The 18,896-nt window shown below is 39.6% G+C and overlaps 1 protein-coding gene and 1 pseudogene across 1 annotated transcript in view, besides 1 other annotated feature; both read right to left on the reverse strand.

Moving 5' to 3' along the window:
• SLC24A2 (solute carrier family 24 member 2) overlaps window positions 1-18,896 on the reverse strand; it is an 800,438-nt gene that overhangs the window by 448,438 nt on the left and 333,104 nt on the right. The gene's annotated exons all lie outside the window — the stretch shown is intronic.
• Window positions 11,306-12,118, reverse strand: GLRX3P1 (glutaredoxin 3 pseudogene 1; annotated as a pseudogene).
• Window positions 11,778-12,617: an enhancer, noted in NCBI's record as "OCT4-NANOG hESC enhancer chr9:19967668-19968507 (GRCh37/hg19 assembly coordinates)". NCBI's record gives its function as "activates a minimal SCP1, AML or CMV promoter by ChIP-STARR-seq in primed H9 embryonic stem cells {active_cell/tissue: H9 hESC(primed)}" and the evidence as "EXISTENCE:reporter gene assay evidence [ECO:0000049][PMID:30033119]".

An 18,896-nucleotide genomic window follows, 5' to 3' on the forward strand; every position in this document is an offset into this window, starting at 1 on the left:
ATTTTCTCCCTTACAAAATTTTCAACCAAGTTGGAATTAAATTAATCTCACTGTAAAATACAAGAAAGAATAGGTAAGCCCAGTGTTTGCTCTGTGTAATGCATAAAACAGAAGCATTTCTCCAACAGCACTAGCCCTAGAGGTACCACATTAAGAACTGGCTGCAGGACAAAGTGATCCCTTAGGTCTACTAACAAGGCAGGGAGAGGAGAGTCCAGTTTCAGCAAAGATGAGGATTCCCTGCTACGCTCTACGTTTAGCTTTTAGTTGTAGCCAGATCTCAAACAGATCCTAGGTCCCCCTAACTGACAAGGCCAGAACATAGTACCTTCACAGGGTCAAGAGGGCCAAAGTTGTCTAAACTAGTCAGTGAACATCTCTGCTCCATAATTTGTTAATGCTCACAATGATAGCGCTACAGGCATCAAGAAGCCTGGGTTTTGGAACAACTTACACATTTGTTATAGCAAAATATTTGTGTCCCCCTGACATTCCTGTGTTGAAACCTAATCACCAGTGTAATGGTACTTAGCAGCGGTGGCTTTTTGGTTGTGATTAGGTCATTGTATTAGTCTGTTTTCACGCTGATAAAGACATATCCGAGACTGGGAAGAAAAAGAGGTTTAATGGACTTACAGTTCCACGTGGCTGGGGAGGCCTCACAATTGTGATGGAAGGCAAGGAGGAGCAAGTGACATCTTACTGTATGGCAGCAGGCAAGAGAGAGAGCTTGTGAAGGGAAACTCCCGTTTTTAAAACCATCAGATCTCATCAGACTTATTCACTATCACGAGAACAGCATGGGAAAGACCCGCCTCCATGATTCAATTACCTCCCACCAGATTCCTCCCATGACACATGGAAATTGTAGGAATTACAATTAGAGATGAGATTTGGGTGGAGACACAGCCAAACCATATCAGTCATGAAGGCATAGCCCTCATGAATGGGATTGGTGCCCTTATAAAATAGACCTCTCTCGTACCTTTTGTCATGTGAGGACACAGCAAAAAGATAGCTGTCTATACACCAGGAAGTAGGCCCTCACCAGACACTGCATCTGTGGAGGCTTGGTCTTGGACTTCCCAGCCTCCGGACTGTGAGAAATAAATTTCTGATGTTTATAAGCCATCCAGTCTACGGTATTTTGTTGTAACAGCCTGAACTGACTAAGACAACATCATTTACCTAATAAGCAGTGATAAACGTTCTTGTCTAGAGTAAATGATACGAAATATAATACATTACTGCTGAGGTTATTTAGTCTGACTTTAAATTAAAGCAGTACAAATGACTTCTTCCATACAATAAAGACAAACTTTGTACTCATGCTTCTCAAAGCCAGTTGTGTCTCTAGATCTAGCCTCAGTTTAACAATTTTTAAAAAAAAATACCTTTCCTAGGTCAGCGCTAAGATGAAAAAGGAGTAGCGAGCAAAACACTCTATATCCAGAATCCCTGTAATAGAAAGAGCTCTAGAATCCAGCAGGTTCAAGCACATTCAAGTTTGAGATTGTGGTCTGTGGCAATCGTTTCTGTCCTTCTATCTCTGGAATGTTCATCTTGGGTGGCTTGAAGGTTGCTGGATTCACAGCCATTCAGTTGGCCTGGATATAACCTGAGCATAGGTCAGTTCCACTGGGAAGGGCCACTGTGCTCCTTTGTAGCCCAGGTGACAAAGCCTCCTGAAGCAGACTCCTGAGGTGGGGGTGGAAGTATGGGGGTCTTTGTTCAAAACTGCTCCATTTATCTGATGAGTCTGTCTTTATCCCCATTTCTGAAACTGGACTTTGCTGGAATTTGGACCAGATAAGGCTGTAGAAGAACCAGAAGTGAACCAGTCTCGGTTTTTGCTTAGGGAAAGAGTCGGGGTGCTGCTTGGAGTGGACAGGGTCATTCAAGCGGCCTCTCTTTCTTCGTTATTTCTTCCCGTTTGGTTTGTGGAATGCTTCTGTCACTCAAAGGTTCTTGATCTCCTTGGTGGGAGGAACTTCGTGGGGTGTGTAGCCAGCATCATTCGGCCTTGTTTGTTGCTCAAAATACTGAATGCTGTCCTGTGTGTTTTGTAATAATTCATGATGACAATGGTAGCTCTATCCTTCACCACCAGGATCTTGTCCATACTGTCAGTGGCCATAGGATCATGGTAGGGGGGACACACAGTCCCCTCTTATTCCACCAAGGTACTGAAATAACTTGTTTCCAGGGAATGCTGCTCATGGCTAGGGAAGAGGAATCAATGTGTAGGGTCTTTGAGGGCATCCTCATAGCCTGGCAGTTACAGACTCGTGGGGAGGGATATCTTGCCTAGGGAACCCCTAGGCTTAAGAGCCGGCTCTCCTCGTTGTCTTGAAGCCACTGAAAAACTAGGATCCAGGTGATTTAGAGCTGAGTGCCTGCCACCACAGTGAAATGATGTGACAATTATGCTGACAGATACTAACGAGGAACACCACCCAGCTGTTGCAAATTAGCAAGGCTTCCCTGGTAAAGTCCACACAGAGGTCTGTTTCTTTGCCACCATGGGGATTCCTGCAACCCAAGCTCCACAGTACAGACAGAGGCTTTATGGTGCAGTCAGGACCCAAGCCACGGTGTGCACGGCACTGTACTGTACTCCAGGCAGGTCTGAACCTCGGGTGCAGATCGGCGAGCACGTGCTGTGCAAGTCTAGGATTCCAGTGTTAACTTTCCTCTTTACTAGCTAAGTGACACTGAACAAGACACAATCTCTCTGAGGCTGTTTCTTTGTCTGAAAAATGAGGATCAAATACCTGCTCTGTCTATTTCATGGGGTTCTTGGAACATCAAATAGTCTTTGTTCTCATTGGTTTTATGAATCATGGAGGCATAATATAAATGTGTGAAATAAAAGACAAGGCATGTAAAAATACTGTGTGAGATTTAAAGGGGCACACAAATGCAAAAATTACTGTTTGTGACTTTTTAATAAACGCAAGGTAAAATATCATTTTTATATTCAATTAAATCCAACCATCATTTTTGAGGCCCTGCTTTAATACATGATTCTTTGGGATGTAGTGTTAAATTATCCACATGCACCCTAAGTCTGAACAATTTTTGTGTAGCAAGTCCCCCATCCCCTGCCAAAAAAAGCAAAGCTATAGCAACCAGTGTTCTGGTGTTCTATGGCCTTTTTTCCCTAAGATCCACACTTTGCTTTTCGCTAACCCATCTCTCACTGTAAATGTGTACAGGAACAAGATGTGAGTACCGTAGATTAAGGCTAGAGATAATTGGCAGAACATAGGAGAAGAATCAGTGATGAGGGAGAAGGTGGGAGAGAAAAAGAGGGACCTGGGAATTGGAAAGAAGAAAAGACAATGTACAAATAAAATCAATCCTCCCAATTGTGGCATGCAGAGAGAAAGAACCAAGCTACAAAAATGGATTCAATCAGATTCAATCAATCAGATGCCAGATGGACATGGCTTTAAAAAATGAGGCTATTATCACTGAAGTTCATTTGACAGAGCTTATGTATAAGAGTCAAGCGATGATCACTCTTGTCTACAATCATAAAATAAGGTGCCACGGTGATTTATCACTTTACTCTTCTAATATAACCCAACCTTTAGCAGTGTCTATAAATTTGGTTCCTACCTTTTGAAAACTCTTACTGTATCACTGTAAATTAGCCCATTCCTTGGCACATACTAGGCATTTGATAAGTGTCTGGTGAATAAATGAACTGAAAGAATGCAGACCTAGTTATGTTATTTTATCTTTTCATGGTGTTGAAGGATTCAAAACTAGAAAATAACACTCCCCCTTTCACCCTCTTATTTCCTCAAACACAAGACTCTTATTTAAGATTCCTCTAGTCTATGCAGATAACTTAACAATTGCTGGTACTCACTGAATGATTACTGTGCTGGGTAGTGTGTTAAGAAGTTTACACGATCTCACTCAATCCTTGCAACAACAAGTGAGCACGTGATTATCCCACTTTAAAAATGGAGAAAGTAAAATTCAGGGAGGCTACCCTTAGAAAGGGAAAAAGTTTATACACCTAGTAAGTTGGGATAAGGGTAACCAATTGGATATGCTTTTCTTTAATAATTATATTTTCATAGAAAAGGCTCAAGGAAGCACACCAAGAATTACAACTACCCTTTTCTAAATTGCAAAGGCCTGCAGAAAGTGTGTCCGTTGAGGATAAGCTATTGGCAGTGACCTTGAGGACAGAAGGAGTGGCTAGAGCAGGAGCATTTCATTGTTTCTTGATGCCAACCAAAGTAAGAAATGCATTTTATATCCTAACACACACATACACACACACACTCACACATAACCACACATACGTATGTACATAACTGAAATAAAACTTTTACTGAGCAATGCTTACTGCCACTATGTGTGACGCATGATATTTTCCATTCTGTTCCCTTCCATTTACTTTTCTTTCCTTCCCTTCCCTTCCATTCTATTCTATTCTATTTCTTTAAATGCTGTTTGGGACCCACTTATAATTGACTTCACTGTGCATTCGTGTGTAATGAGCTGCAGTTTGGAAACCAATGAGGTGGAAGGCAATAAAATTAGTAGGAAGAGAATGGAATTTTGATTCCCTTGTGAGACTGGAACCTTGGGCTGCTATTGTGTGGGCTAAAGCAAATAATAATTTCTTTGAACTTCAGTTTCTCACCCATAAAATGGGGGTAATAATACATACCTCAAAGGGATGCTGAGAAGAGTGAGCGACAAACATACACACCTACTCTAGTACTTAGTGTGTCCCACAGATGTATGGTGACAGCAGTGTAATGAGGTGGTTAGGAATGCAGAATGCTGGGCCCTGTCACAAACTAGCTGTGTGATCTTAGGCAAATCACATAATCTCCAAGCTGTGGTTTACTCCTGTGTAAAAAATGAGGAAACAGTAGTATTTACTTCACAGGGTTGTCGTGAGCATTAAGTGTGATAACATATGTAAAGCTCTGAGCACAATGCCTGGTGTGTAGTAAGTGCTCAATAAATTATTGGCTATATCATCTATTCAGCAAATATATCTATTATTATTGCCCAACTACTTAGAGCTACTCTGGAATGCCCTAGACTAGGTGACAATATATATTTTGATGGGACAAATTCAGGATTAGAGGGGTGGGTGTGTGTGTGTGTGTGTGTGTGTGTGTGAGTGAGAGAAAGGAGAAAGAGAGAAGAAAGGAGAAAGAGAAGAAAGGAGAGAGAGACAGAAGAAAGGAGAGAGAGACAGAAGAAAGGGGAGAGAGAGAGAGAGAGAGAGAGAGAAATAATACATATGTAACAAACCTGCACGTTGTGCACACGTACCCTAAAACTTAAAGTATAATAATAATAAAAAAAAAGAAATCAGAATTACTCTATTTTACTCACTGGTATCTTCAAGAGGCCAAATCAAACTTGGCTGCAGCAAAGGAAAATATTTTTAGTAAAGAAAGGTTAGATCCAAAACTGGATTCCCTCTCTTTGTTTTTGACAGTATTTCCACAAAACCCAATCTTTGGCATGGGGTTAAAAGCCTTTTTTTTCTTTCCAATAAGTAGACTTAACAAAAAAATGAATAAAGGAAAGAACTCTACATATTAAGTAGTGGAAAGTAAGTTTCATCCTTTGGAGGTTAGCTAAAGAACTCTATGGCATGGCCCCACACTCCCTAAAGCCTTCCTTCTTGCCACCTGTGCCAGGTAACCTCTAAGATGCCCCCAATACTTCCTGGTATTCATGCTCTGTGTAATACTCTCTTCCTGTCAAGTGTGGATTGGACTAAGTAACTCATTTCTAACTAATAGGATAAAGTGGAAATGACAGTGTATGACTTAGAGACTATGTCATAAGAGGTAATATGGCTTCGCCTCTCTCTTCTGGAGCTTACTCTGAGGGAAGGTAGCTGCCATGTTGTGAGCAGCGCCATGGGAAGCCCATGTGATGAAAAACTAAAGCCTCCCACCTACAGTCAGGGAAGTGAACTTGGAAACTGATCCTCCAGACTCTTCAAAAGAATGTAGTCCCAGCCAACAGATACCCTGAACCAGAACCACCCAGATAAACCACTCCTAGATTCTTGACTCTCAGAAACTATGAGATAATATATGTTGTTTTAAGCTGCTATGTTTGGGGATAATTGTTATACAGTAATAGATAGCTAATATATCACCCTTGAATCTTGCTTCCCACACCATCTGTGTTAGGTCAGTCAGTTAATGATTCATTTATTCTCTCATTCATTCCATGAACTTTTATGGACTGCTCATTATGTGTTGGGCAGTGTGACTGTCTTCAAATCCTCACTTTAAGGAGTTGCTCTGTTCTGTTCCATTGATCTATATCTCTGTTTTTGTAGCAGTACCATGCTGTTTTGGTTACTGTAGCCTTGTAGTATAGTTTGAAGTCAGGTAGCGTGATGCCTCCAGCTTTGTTCTTTTAGCTTAGGATTGACTTGGCGATGCGGGCTCTTTTTGGTTCCATATGAACTTTAAAGTAGTTTTTTCCAATTCTGTGAAGAAAGTCATTGGTAGCCTGATGGGGATGGCATTGAATCTATAAATTACCTTGGGCAATATGGCCATTTTCACAATATTGATTCTTCCTACCCATGAGCATGGAATGTTCTTCCATTTGTTTGTATCCTCTTTTATTTCATTGAGCAGTGGTTTGTAGTTCTCCTTGAAGAGGTCCTTCCCGTCCCTTGTAAGTTGGATTCCTAAGTATTTTATTCTCTTTGAAGCAATTGTGAATGGGAGTTCACTCATGATTTGGCTCTCTGTCTGTTATTGGTGTATAAGAATGCTTGTGATTTTTGTACATTGATTTTGAACCTGAGACTTTGCTGAAGCTGCTTATCAGCTTAAGGAGATTTTGGGCTGAGACTATGGGGTTTTCTAGATATACAATCATGTTGTCTGCAAACAGGGACAATTTGACTTCCTCTTTTCCTAATTGAATACCCTTTATTTCCTTCTCCTGCCTAACTGCCCTGGCCAGAACTTCCAACACTATGTTGAATAGGAGTGGTGATAGAGGGCATCCCTGTCTTGTGCCAGTTTTCAAAGGGAATGCTTCCAGTTTTTGCCCATTCAGTATGATATTGGCTGTGGGTTTTTCATAGATAGCTCTTATTATTTTGAGATACGTCCCATCAATACCTAAGCCCTCAGAAATAACGCCGCATATCTACAACTATCTGATCTTTGACAAACCTGACAAAAACAAGAAATGGGGAAAGGATTCCCTATTTAATAAATGGTGCTGGGAAAACTGGCTAGCCATATGTAGAAAGCTGAAACTGGATCCCTTCCTTACACCTTATATACAAATTAATTCAAGATGGATTAAAGACTTACATGTTAGACCTAAAACCATAAAAACCCTAGAAGAAAACCTAGGCAATACCATTCAGGACATAGGCATGGGTAAGGACGTCGTGTCTAAAACACCAAAAGCAATGGCAACAAAAGCCAAAATTGACAAATGGGATCTCATTAAACTAAAGAGCTTCTGCACAGCAAAAGAAACTACCATCAGAGTGAACAGGCAACCTACAAAATGGGAGAAAATTTTCGCAACCTACTCATCTGACAAAGGGCTAATATCCAGAATCTACAATGAACTCAAACAAATTTACAAGAAAAAAACAAACAACCCCATCAACAAGTGGGTGAAGGACATGAACAGACACTTCTCAAAAGAAGACATTTATGCAGCCAAAAAACACATGAAAAAATGCTCACCATCACTGGCCATCAGAGAAATGCAAATCAAAACCACAGTGAGATACCATCTCACACCAGTTAGAATGACAATCATTAAAAAGTCAGGAAACAACAGCTGCTGGAGAGGATGTGGAGAAATAGGAACACTTTTACACTGTTGGTGGGACTGTAAACTAGTTCAACCATTGTGGAAGTCAGTGTGGCGATTCCTCGGGGACCTAGAACTAGAAATACCATTTGACCCAGCCATCCCATTACTGGGTATATACCCAAAGGACTATGAATCATGCTGCTATAAAGACACATGCACACGTATGTTTATAGCGGCACTATTCACAATAGCAAAGACTTGGAATCCACCCAAATGTCCAACAATGATAGACTGGATTAAGAAAATGTGGCACATATACACCATGGAATACTATGCAGCCATAAAAAATGATGAGTTCATGTCCTTTGTAGGGACATGGATGAAATTGGAAATCATCATACTCAGTAAACTATCGCAAGGACAAAAAACCAAACACCGCATGTTCTCATTCATAGATGAGAATTGAACAATGAGACCACATGGACACAGGAAGGGGAACATCACACTCTGGGGACTGTTGTGGGGTGGGGGGAGGGGGGAGGGATAGCATGAGGAGATATACCTAATGCTAAATGACGAGTTAATGGGTGCAGCACACCAGCATGGCACATGTATACATATGTAACTAACCTGCACATTGTGCACATGTACCCTAAAACTTAAAGTAAAATAATAATAATAATAATAAAAAAAGGAGTTGCAGTCAAGTGGTGGATATACAGTGGGCAGACCATTACTGTTTAAAATGCTAGGTGCATGCTAAGTGCCACTATGTGGTTTTGATAGAGGGCCTTCAGGACTCAGAGGAGGAACAAGGACTTCCTGCCTGGGCAAATGAAAGGATACAGAGAGGAGATGGCACTGGACCTAAGCCTTGATACCAAGGTATGATGGCTTTGCCATATGTCCACTTGGTTGGACTGAACTGCCTTCCCCAGAATTCCCTTTCTTCTATGTTTCTAGGCTGGGTGGGGCACAAGGGAGATTCCCACCCAAGGAGAAGGGAAGCAGTGGCCATTTCTTAGTGCACAGGTGTGTGGGGCTGCTAACTCACTTTGTTGGCGTGAAGCAGCAGCTGGCCTGCCATTGCTCTACCTTCCCCTGTGGTCTTCTGTAGCATGTCTGACTTCCAGGTCAAGTGTGTGTTTAGCTCTGGGATAAAGGGCTTCAGCTTCTGAAGGATACTCTCATCAGTAAGGTGAGAAGCAACGAGACGGGACACGGTCCTTTTTTTGCTTGAGGTGCCAGCCTACTCCTGATTTTCTCTTCCTGTCTTCCCCATGGAGTTCAAGCTCCAGCCACATGTAGAGACAACAGCCTTATGGAGACTGCGTAACCAGCTCCCACGATCGTGTAGATCGTGTAAGCCAGTTCCCTGTGACACACAGGTGGAAATGACGAGAAAGAGCGTTGGAGGCAGAGGGAATAACAGGAACACAGGAGTGGAAGAGAAAAGGTAGAAGTAATACCATAACCACTTGTATAACACCAGTAGTGACCAATCAGAATGAATCATTACCCCAGCACTGACCAATCAGAATGAAGGCAGACCGCAGCACTGGCCAATCAGAACAAATGCTTGCCACAGTGCTGAAGCAGGGTCCTGGATGGCCCGGCTGTGTCCCTTTTAGTTACTGAATTATAAGGTCTTACTGAGGAGAAGTCTGAGTGGGTCTTGTGGTGGTTAAAAGTATGGGAGTGGGGATCAGAGAACCAACTATTTGCCAACTAGTACAGAAATGTTTTAATATTTCAACAACTTGCACTATCATACTGATGCATTCCAGCTAAATAGAAGCTCTGAGAAAATATGCGTGGTGTGTGTGATGCGTAGCAAGTTGTTTAATGTTGCTGGCTCGTGGTATGGCTGTAGTTTTAACCACCCGGTGACTCAATTCAGTGAAATTGATTTAACCTGTTTTGTCTTAAGTGGCCATAGTCAAAATAGCTATGAAAACAATTCCATGGCAAAATGCTATTTTATACCAATCACAGATGACCAAGAACCTATGCTTTCACTGAATGAGGGATCAAAAAGCAGGAATTTTAGCCAGTGTTCTGCTACTGTCACATTGTGACCTGGGAAAGTCATTTACCACGACCCATCCTGCAACCAGAAGGAATGGCCTTACTTGGGCTTTCCTCTGTGTAATCTTCTTGAGACTGGAATGATCCTCCATTCCTTAAAACTATGAGTAAAGACATATTTCACCCAAGAAACCTGCCCTACATCTCATTGGCTCGGCATGAAATTTTTAGCTTGTGGTAATTATTTTACATGAATTGATATTATATTCCCTGTTCTCTTTAGGTAGCATCACAGGTGTGCAGCTTATTCCTCCTTTTGATTGGCTTGATCTCTCAACAGATGCATAATTTACCGGACATCCCTTTTATACTCTGTAATGTCCCCTGCTACCTAGAGCTCCGCATACAGCAGGTGCTTAATAAATACTTAAGCGTCCATATAGCATTTTGGTAAATGTTCCAGTTCCAAATAAAAATCAAACAGGATATTTTTGTGTATTTAAGGGTTTTGGATTGTGTCTAGCGTGGTATTTCTCTCTACTTCCCTTCCACTGGCATGAATAATTAATAATAGAGTTGGAACTCCGTGTGTGCATGCCCATAATAGTATTTGTGTGCATATAATAATGGTGTAAAACTTAACTCATTTTGCTTCAAATAAAAAGCCATTCCTGTTTAACAATTAGCGGGTATGAACACAAAGATCATTTTAGCATCTTAGAGCCAATAATTTCTTGTAGCTAAGCTAAAGCTACCAAAAATTAATATTTATCATTAAGGAGAAATTCAAATCTTAAACAGAGAAAAATAATACAATCAACTCTAGACACTTAAATATTCTTGTCCTTGGAGAGTTAGGGCAGTTGGGCTTAATCTGCCACATTCTCACTAATAAAAATGTCACTATTGAACTCACTGTTCTTTTGGAAAATGAGAAATACAAATTGAACATTCTATAGGGAAAAATCAATACAGGAAAGTGTTGGACTATGGTTTTAAAATAAGCTTCTAAACCCAAACAAAAAGTAGATATACAATTAACAGAGTAGTGGAATGCGAATGCAATTGCTGAGAGTATGAAATTTTGAATATGAACTCTTTCCTCTCAAGCAATTGAATTAGTAGAAGAAATTACTAAGAAAAAGCTGAACAGAGATGACTACAAATAAATAAAAATTTTAAGCCTTTTGATATTACTGTGAGACCAATTTTTCTTCTTAAGCCTGGAAGAATTTCTGAAAAATTCTAAGGTAGGTGTTTGATCTTTTCTGCTTGACTTATTTTTTCTACTTAGCACATACACATTTATTTGAATTTGAAAATGTTTACTGCACCCATGTGTAAAAATTAACATATATATTTACCATGACCTTGTGATGTATACAAGGCAGAATGGAATGAGAATATTTCTTCTCCAGTCTATTTCTCTGGAATAAATCATAAATTGTTCCATTGTTATTAAACCATTTTTTAATAGTTCAGCTCCCAGCATTAGCATCAATAAATTCCTCTTCTAAATATAGAAAGCAAGTCACTATTTTCTTTAACTTTCATAACCTCATCCATTCCTTCAACTAGTTTTTCACTTACACATACTTGTACACATACTTGTATGTGTAAGTGAACAAACTGGTTTTTAATTCTTAGCAAACTGCTCATTCCCCAACAGATGAAGTGTCTCTTAATCTATGCCAGTGCTCTTTAGTCAGAATTGGTCTTCTGAGTCTATATTTTGCCCCCTATCACTTTGCTTTCATAAAGAGCATCACAGAAGCTTATTCATTAGCATTCAGAGTCAGTCTCTAATGTAGGGGTAGCTCTGATGCAATTTACGTTTAGTTCTTTCCATGCTTCCAGTTCTTTATATCAAGCCCTCCTGTTAGCTCTGAGGATAAGTGAGCCAATTGGAAAAGGTTTTGAGCCCTTAGCAAATCTCATCATAAGATATATCCAAACACTGTAATCTGAATGCAATCTTCATTAAGAATTTCCACCACCTGCTTGCTGAAGCCACAGCACAGCTCCACTCATAATCACCATGCAGGGGGCAGCATTAGTTAATGTCATTAGACAAATGTTGCCATCTCCTTGTGCATGTTCATTAGCACCAGGTGGGAAAATACAGGCATGGAAATTTTGGGTTGATTCAGGCTTGGACATTATTTATTCAGCTAACTTTCTGAGCATCCTTGAAAAACCAAAAAGGTTGGATTTGAAATAACTTTTTTAAAAACATACTTCAGGGGCAGTGTCAGAGTTCAACTTCACTAATGGAAGTAGAGGGTTACTTTCCCAGAGGTATGGCATTGGGTAAGTTGCTTACTCTCTTGGTTTCCCCACCTATAAAATAGGGAGGATAATTTTATCTACCTTATAGGGTTTGTATTCAGATTAAATGAGTTGATACAAATAAAGCACTTTGAACAGAGCCTGGTTTGTTTTCATCATCATAATCTTCATCATCATCTTTGTTATGCTAACTCTGCTTTCCATTGTTCATCTGAGCACACCAGGGAGCCCACAGGGACCCACATGGGCCACAGAGAGTAATTTGACTCTGAAACACAGCAGCTTTTGTTTTCTTTTCTTTTTAACCTACATCCTTGGAGCACTTACTAAGTGCCAGTCACTATGCTAAACTGTTTGCAAACATTTTCTCATGCAAACCTCACAACAAGGCTAACAAGATAGATACAAAACTGTATTACAATTTCCATTTTATAGATGAGGAAATTGGAATTTGGAGAAGTTAATTTGCTTATAGAAATAAGGTCCACAGACTCTAAGAAGTGGATAGACTTGTATTTCATACTAACTTTGTTTTAGGTGTTATATTGACCTCAAGACCAATTATGAAACAAATATTTAGAGCTGGAAAGCCTTTCCCATTCATGTAGTGCACATGTAGGAGTTAAGACTTAGAGAAGTTAAGGACTTCACCCAAGGTCACACAGCCAGCTGTGACTAGCTGGCATCAGAACATTTACAGAGGTCCTTGGCCCTCTAATGCTCTGCTTTTTCTCTATATATTATTTTACGTCATTAACAGATTGCTCCAAATGTGAAAATATTCAAACTGTGCATTCATCTCAAGGCATGAGTTTCTGCAGCAAGGAAATCATTTATATAAATGGAAAATTAACTGAAGGGAGAAAAGAAATACTTGGGATAGGTTTTTGAAATTTAAACACAATTGCTTAAGTAACATCTTAAAAGATGGCATTAAAGTCATACCCCAGAAGCCACAAATATGATAATAAAAGGTTTACAGTGGCTGTTCTACCAGACATTCTTCAATCCCATTTTCTTTCCAGTGTTTATAACTAGCACGGAACTGAGGCAATTAAGAACAGCTTTCTTTCAGCTTCTCTAAGGCTTCTTGTGTTTTAAACCTGAATTCCTGAGGCCAGGGAGGAAAAGGGAATTCCCTAACCTCTGCGTCCGCCACCTCCTTTGCCACACACACACACACACACACACACACACACACACACACACACTTCTTCCTCCCAGAATGAAGAATTTCCTTCATTCTTTTCCTTTTTCATCTCTTCTGTCTCACAGCCTCCACTCCCTCCCCCAAAACCTAAACTTCAGAACTTGGCTCAGTGACATTCCCTCAAGATCAAAGTTAAATGATAATTTCCATAAAAACCAAAGTCATTTCAGTCTCACTATCTCTCTGAAAGTCTGAGTCTCATGCCAATAAAGCACAAAAAAATTCCACACTCCCTTTCTCTTCAATATGAAAGTCCATGCTCCCTCTTCCTTTCTTCTGGTGTCTCTTCACTCCTCACACATTACTGCTTTTCTGCAGAGATGTCCACAGTAAGTTCCACCTTCTAATTTAAGATTTAGCTACTTCCAGTGCCTCTTTTTCTCTCCTGGATAGGCAATGCCTGTGAGGATTGAGGCTACAGTAGTAAGAAAAGAACCAAGAAGCAAGGCGGTAGAAAGTTGGAAGACAGAGAGAGAGAGCAGTGATGAAGAGGGGATTGTAGGAAATTCACATAATTACTTCAAATATTAAAGATCATAGAGCTTGTAAGTGACTTGGTTAAAATACTAACTCAAGGCTTTTTGACCTGAGTCAAACAAAATCCAATTGTTGAGAATATCATAACAAAAGGGATGAAGACTGGTCCCAATAGGAGTTATGAGCTATACTAGGGATTGCAATATAAAGTGTCTGTGCAAGAGTGTGAGTCAGTGACATAAATATGGGGAAGAGTGGGAGAGACTACAGGACATCATGATACCACCTTTACATATTTCTGTGGCCTTGCTTCACACATCTTCAGAAGGAATCCTCTACCTGACCTTATTCAGCACAAATAATGGGCTGAGAGCAACAGCAAGCAAGCTGCAGTCTGGACAAGGCCCCTTCCCTTCTCACTGCCCCCATCACCCCTCCACGCATAACCACAGATATGACCAGGTAGCTCCTTTATTGCAAGGTGAATGAGGAGGTTCTGATTTTCCCCTGAAAGTGGAAGGGAACCCTTTCTGAAATCACTGATATTTTTCAGGAATCCTTCCACAAAGTCACTAACTGGAGAGTTAACTGATAGCAGGGGGAGTACATATTTCCCTTTGTCTAAGATGTCACCAAGTTTTATGTAAATTAAAATAATTGTCTCCCTCAAGAAATGGAAATAGTAATACTCCATTTAGTTGTGAAGTAACTTCAGAAAGAGAAAATACAGGTGTGTGAGTGTTTTTTCTTTTTCTTATTTGAAAGGAAAATATCAAATTCCTAACACAGAAAATCTCCCTGAGAGTCTGCCTCCAGTAGGAAAGCTTATTTTGAATTCTGCAAGTTTTATGAGAAAAGCATTAAGCTCTAATAAGTAGCAATTTTAGTATTATTCCTTGGATGTTAAGTTCATTTGTTGAGAATACAATAATACCATGGGATGAAGACTGGTCCCCATAGAAGTTATAAACTATCTTAGGAATTATGACATGAAATGTTCATATATCAATTATAAAAAATGAATCTATTTTCTGTTGCTCCATTTTCAGTTAGTAGGAGAAAAAAAGTATTCTACAGAGTCTGTTTAAACAAACAGAAAAATGAAATCCTAGAGTATATATTCAATAACACCTTGGCTTGATAGACAGTCCTGACTTGGAAGTATGAATCAACAAGTGGTTTTTCTGATATGATTGGACAGAAATATAAGATAATGGAAGGTAGAACTAACATTTCATGATCATACTCCTATGTCCATTGTCACCTAACTTTGTAGTGCTATCCCACTCCTATTCTGGGCTCAGCCTTATGACCTGGGTTGGTCAATGGGATACTAACAAATGTGGGGCAAACAGAGATCTGAAAAGCACTTATGGGTTTCCACTTGTTCTTGTCCTCTACCATAGCCATAAGCATGTATTTGCATTATCCTTCTGCTCGCACAGAGTAGAGCAAAAGTCACCTCAGTCATCCTAGCTGAAACTATCCTAGGTCAGTCAACAACCAGCCAATCCCTGCACAAGACAAAAAGAATGTCTTAGCTGACCCAAGATCAGCAAAATCTCCTAGCATGCCTTCCAGATGCATGAGTAAAGAATGTTTATTGTTGTGTCATTTGTGGTGGTCTGTTATACAGCATGATTATGGTACTAGATAACTAATACAAAACCTACAGTGATGAAATGGTTTCTGGATATCAAAACATATTGTATATTGTGTTACATGTTATATGAAAGCTACAGTAGGGATATGTGTTAAGACAGACTGGTAGGCCTGTATGGCCAAGCCACTTCCAGGCAGGGGAAGGATTCTCACTTAAAAGAGATTATTCCTGGTACCAACCACTCAGGGAAAAGCAGTGTCTCCCCAAGTAGAAATTGAATCTGACAGTATGGACCATTGTCAATTGGATGATATGGCAGGGTCTCTCCTGGGCAGGAGCATTTGTCTAGCAGGATGTTTCTCTGAGAGGCCATTCAGAATGACACTTCTGCTGTGTGGGGACTGACCAGGAGCTGAGCAGTGAAGGACCCACGAGGTTCCATGTGATCACTTTGGTAATGATGATGATGATGATGACGATGGCTGACACCAACTGAGCAGGTTGCTTATTATGTCCCAGGTAATATACTCAGCCCTTGATGTATGTCAACTCATTTAATCTTCATAACAACCCTATAAGGCAGGCATTTTCTTTCCCTCATTTTATACTTCAGGAAACTGAAACCCAGAGCTAGAATATTAAGTGACCTTTGTCCTTTGACTAAGGACAAAATAACAACTAACAAGTAGAGCTAGATGGCCACAAATCTGGCTCAAGAACTCTATTCTAAAGAGCTTAGGGAACCAAACAACAAACAAGTTGAGTAAGGACGAGGACTTTATACTTTGTTAGCTGGGTTGCTGATGGTCCTAGTACTATGTTTCTGACACTGCATGGTCAGGAATTTTTCACCACTATGAGGCCAGTATCTTGGTGGCAGTAGGAAGGGAATAGAAAGAGAGAGAGAGCTACTGTGGCAATGAGAGTGAGAGAGAGAGAAAGAAGGAAGAAAATCTTGATGAGAAGGTAAAGTTGGGGCATGAAGTCAAATGCCGTTAGTCAGGGGGCTTTACTTTGTTCCCAGTTTTCCCAGGAGACTGTCTACAGGTGCTAATTCCTTAGAGGTTCTGGGTTTAATTTTACTGAAGAGGTGGTACTTCCTTATGTTTTGTATGTGCCAGGCAGTTTTGTAAGCTTTTCACATACATTATGCATTGAATTCTAACTACAACCTTTCAAAGAAGAAAGGGACTTTTATCCTTAAAGATCAGTGCTATTCGAAGTGTGATTCCTGGACGTGTGGCAGGCTGTGAACTCTTTCTTTCCAGTCCACAGCGAGATGATACAGAAATTAAAAGTGGCTGTTTAGAAGCTTTTAGAGAGAAATTTTCTGCTTGTTGAATCTAATAATCTAAAAAAATGAGTGCATATCTTATATGTCTACATTTTCTATTTAATTTTCCTGGTAATTCATATATTTTACAAAAGTATTTTTCCTCAAATGGATTGGAAATTTAAGAAATACAATTTGGGAAGTACTATTCTATACCATGGAATTGAGGCTCAGAGAAAGTGAGCAACCTTGCCAAAGTTTCTGTCATTACGAGAAGAGCAGCAGGACTCAAACTCAAGTCTTAATCTAATGCCCAAATTAATGTCCAACTTGACTCTACCTGCCCACACTTGCCTGTTTAAATAACGATGTTAAGCTCATCTTTTGGGGGGTGGGAAGAGGATGATGGGATCTTTCAACTGGTGATCAGCCAGGCCATCACAAAGTGTAGAAATAGGACTTTAAAAACCAAAGGGAAGCCAGGTGCAGTGGTGTGCGACTGTAGTCCCAGCTACTCGGGAGCCTGAGGTGGGAGGATTGCCTGAACCCAGGTGTTTGAGGCCAGCCTGGGCAACACAATGAGAACCCCATTTCTAAAAACAAACAAAAACTAAATCAAAATGATGCTACCAGTGTTCTTGTGTAGCAGACACTGCAATGTGCAATGCCATGGCATTTATCCGGGACATGATTTATGCAGCATGACTTGGAAATCACAGTGAAATCTTTTCTCTTGCTCCTTCTGCAACTCCCTAAGGGAGAAAAATAAGAAACACATAAAATTCTCATTTAAGAAAAATTATTTAACAGACCCTACATCCAGTGAAGCAGTTCATTTTGTGGTTGGAAATTCAAAGGAATTTTTTTCTATCATCTGTTAAAAGAAAATCATGCTGTGATTACAGCAAGGAGTAGTAGATAGACGTGGGCGTTGGAGCAAGACACACTTAGATTTGGGTCCTGCCTTTACCATTTTCTTGCTATGTAATCTTGGCATCATGCTAATATTTCTGAATTTTGTCCTCATTTGTAAAATGTGAATAATCCATAACTCACAGGATTTGGGGATAATTTAATAAAGGTAACTCACATCAATTACTTTCATCAAATACAAAGTAGAAGGATAATTATACCAGATACCTCCAAACCAGATACATTTTACCCGCTTGTTTAAGATTCTTTCAAATGCTGTGGCTATACAATTTCAAAATAATTAACTAAAAGGTTGTTTAAAATTGTTTAGTTATTTAGATAGTAGGTTTTTTTGAAGTACGGGATAAAACAAGGTTATTGGACTCAATTTTAAAAATTGACTAGCTAAATGTTTGCATGTTTTGTTTCCCTATAGAAAAAGTGTAATAAGTTAGGATGATATTCTGGTTTATCATACACTGAAACTTGTTTCATTAAATTTGTGATCTATTCACATTTATAGATTATTGATAATCTTATCTCATAAGGATGTTGGAGAGTCATAAGAGGAAGTCAAATTAGATTATGTAATATATGGTTTCCGGTATATGATAAGCACTGAATAAATGTATTTCTCCCTTATTCTACTTTACTTATAGGTGCTATAATTTCTAGGAGAATGCCACTCTATAGAATTTAATTATATACAATTACTACTATTGTAGATTCCTACATTAAGACTTAACAGAATGAAATAATTTCTACTTGGAAGGTAGAAGTACAGTGATTTAACACTGCTATGAATTTGTCCTGAAACCCTATAGTGAAATTTCTCCAAATGAACAATAATAAAATATCTATGATAGACAATTTTTAAGGTCTGTACTCCAAGCAGTTTCTAAAGTGGCAGGGAGCCTTTGGCATTTCCTCAGTAATTGGTCCCTAAATTGTGTCAACAAGTGCTTATGTACTCTTTACAGTTTTGCCTGCTTTTGCCTTTAACCATTTCAATATTCTTTCCTGAGCAAAGCATAACCTACGCTTTAGAACATTAATTGATTTTTCCTTGCAACATCCTAGGGGGTCTGAAGACCAAAGCCTCTTTGAAGAGCTCATTTTAGGCAACATTGGAAACAATTTCAGAACACCATATAGGATTAGTTAGAAAACCACTTGGAAACATTTGGTAACTTTAGTTCTACCATCATGCTGTCACTTAGGTTGAATCTACAGATTTTTGGATCCTTCTAGAGCACACATATTAACCAGCTCACAGAGTTATTTAAGCACTAAATGAA

The sequence above is a fragment of the Homo sapiens genome, chromosome 9, assembly GCF_000001405.40.
Source record: "Homo sapiens chromosome 9, GRCh38.p14 Primary Assembly".
Classification (NCBI taxonomy): Eukaryota; Metazoa; Chordata; class Mammalia; order Primates; family Hominidae; genus Homo; species Homo sapiens.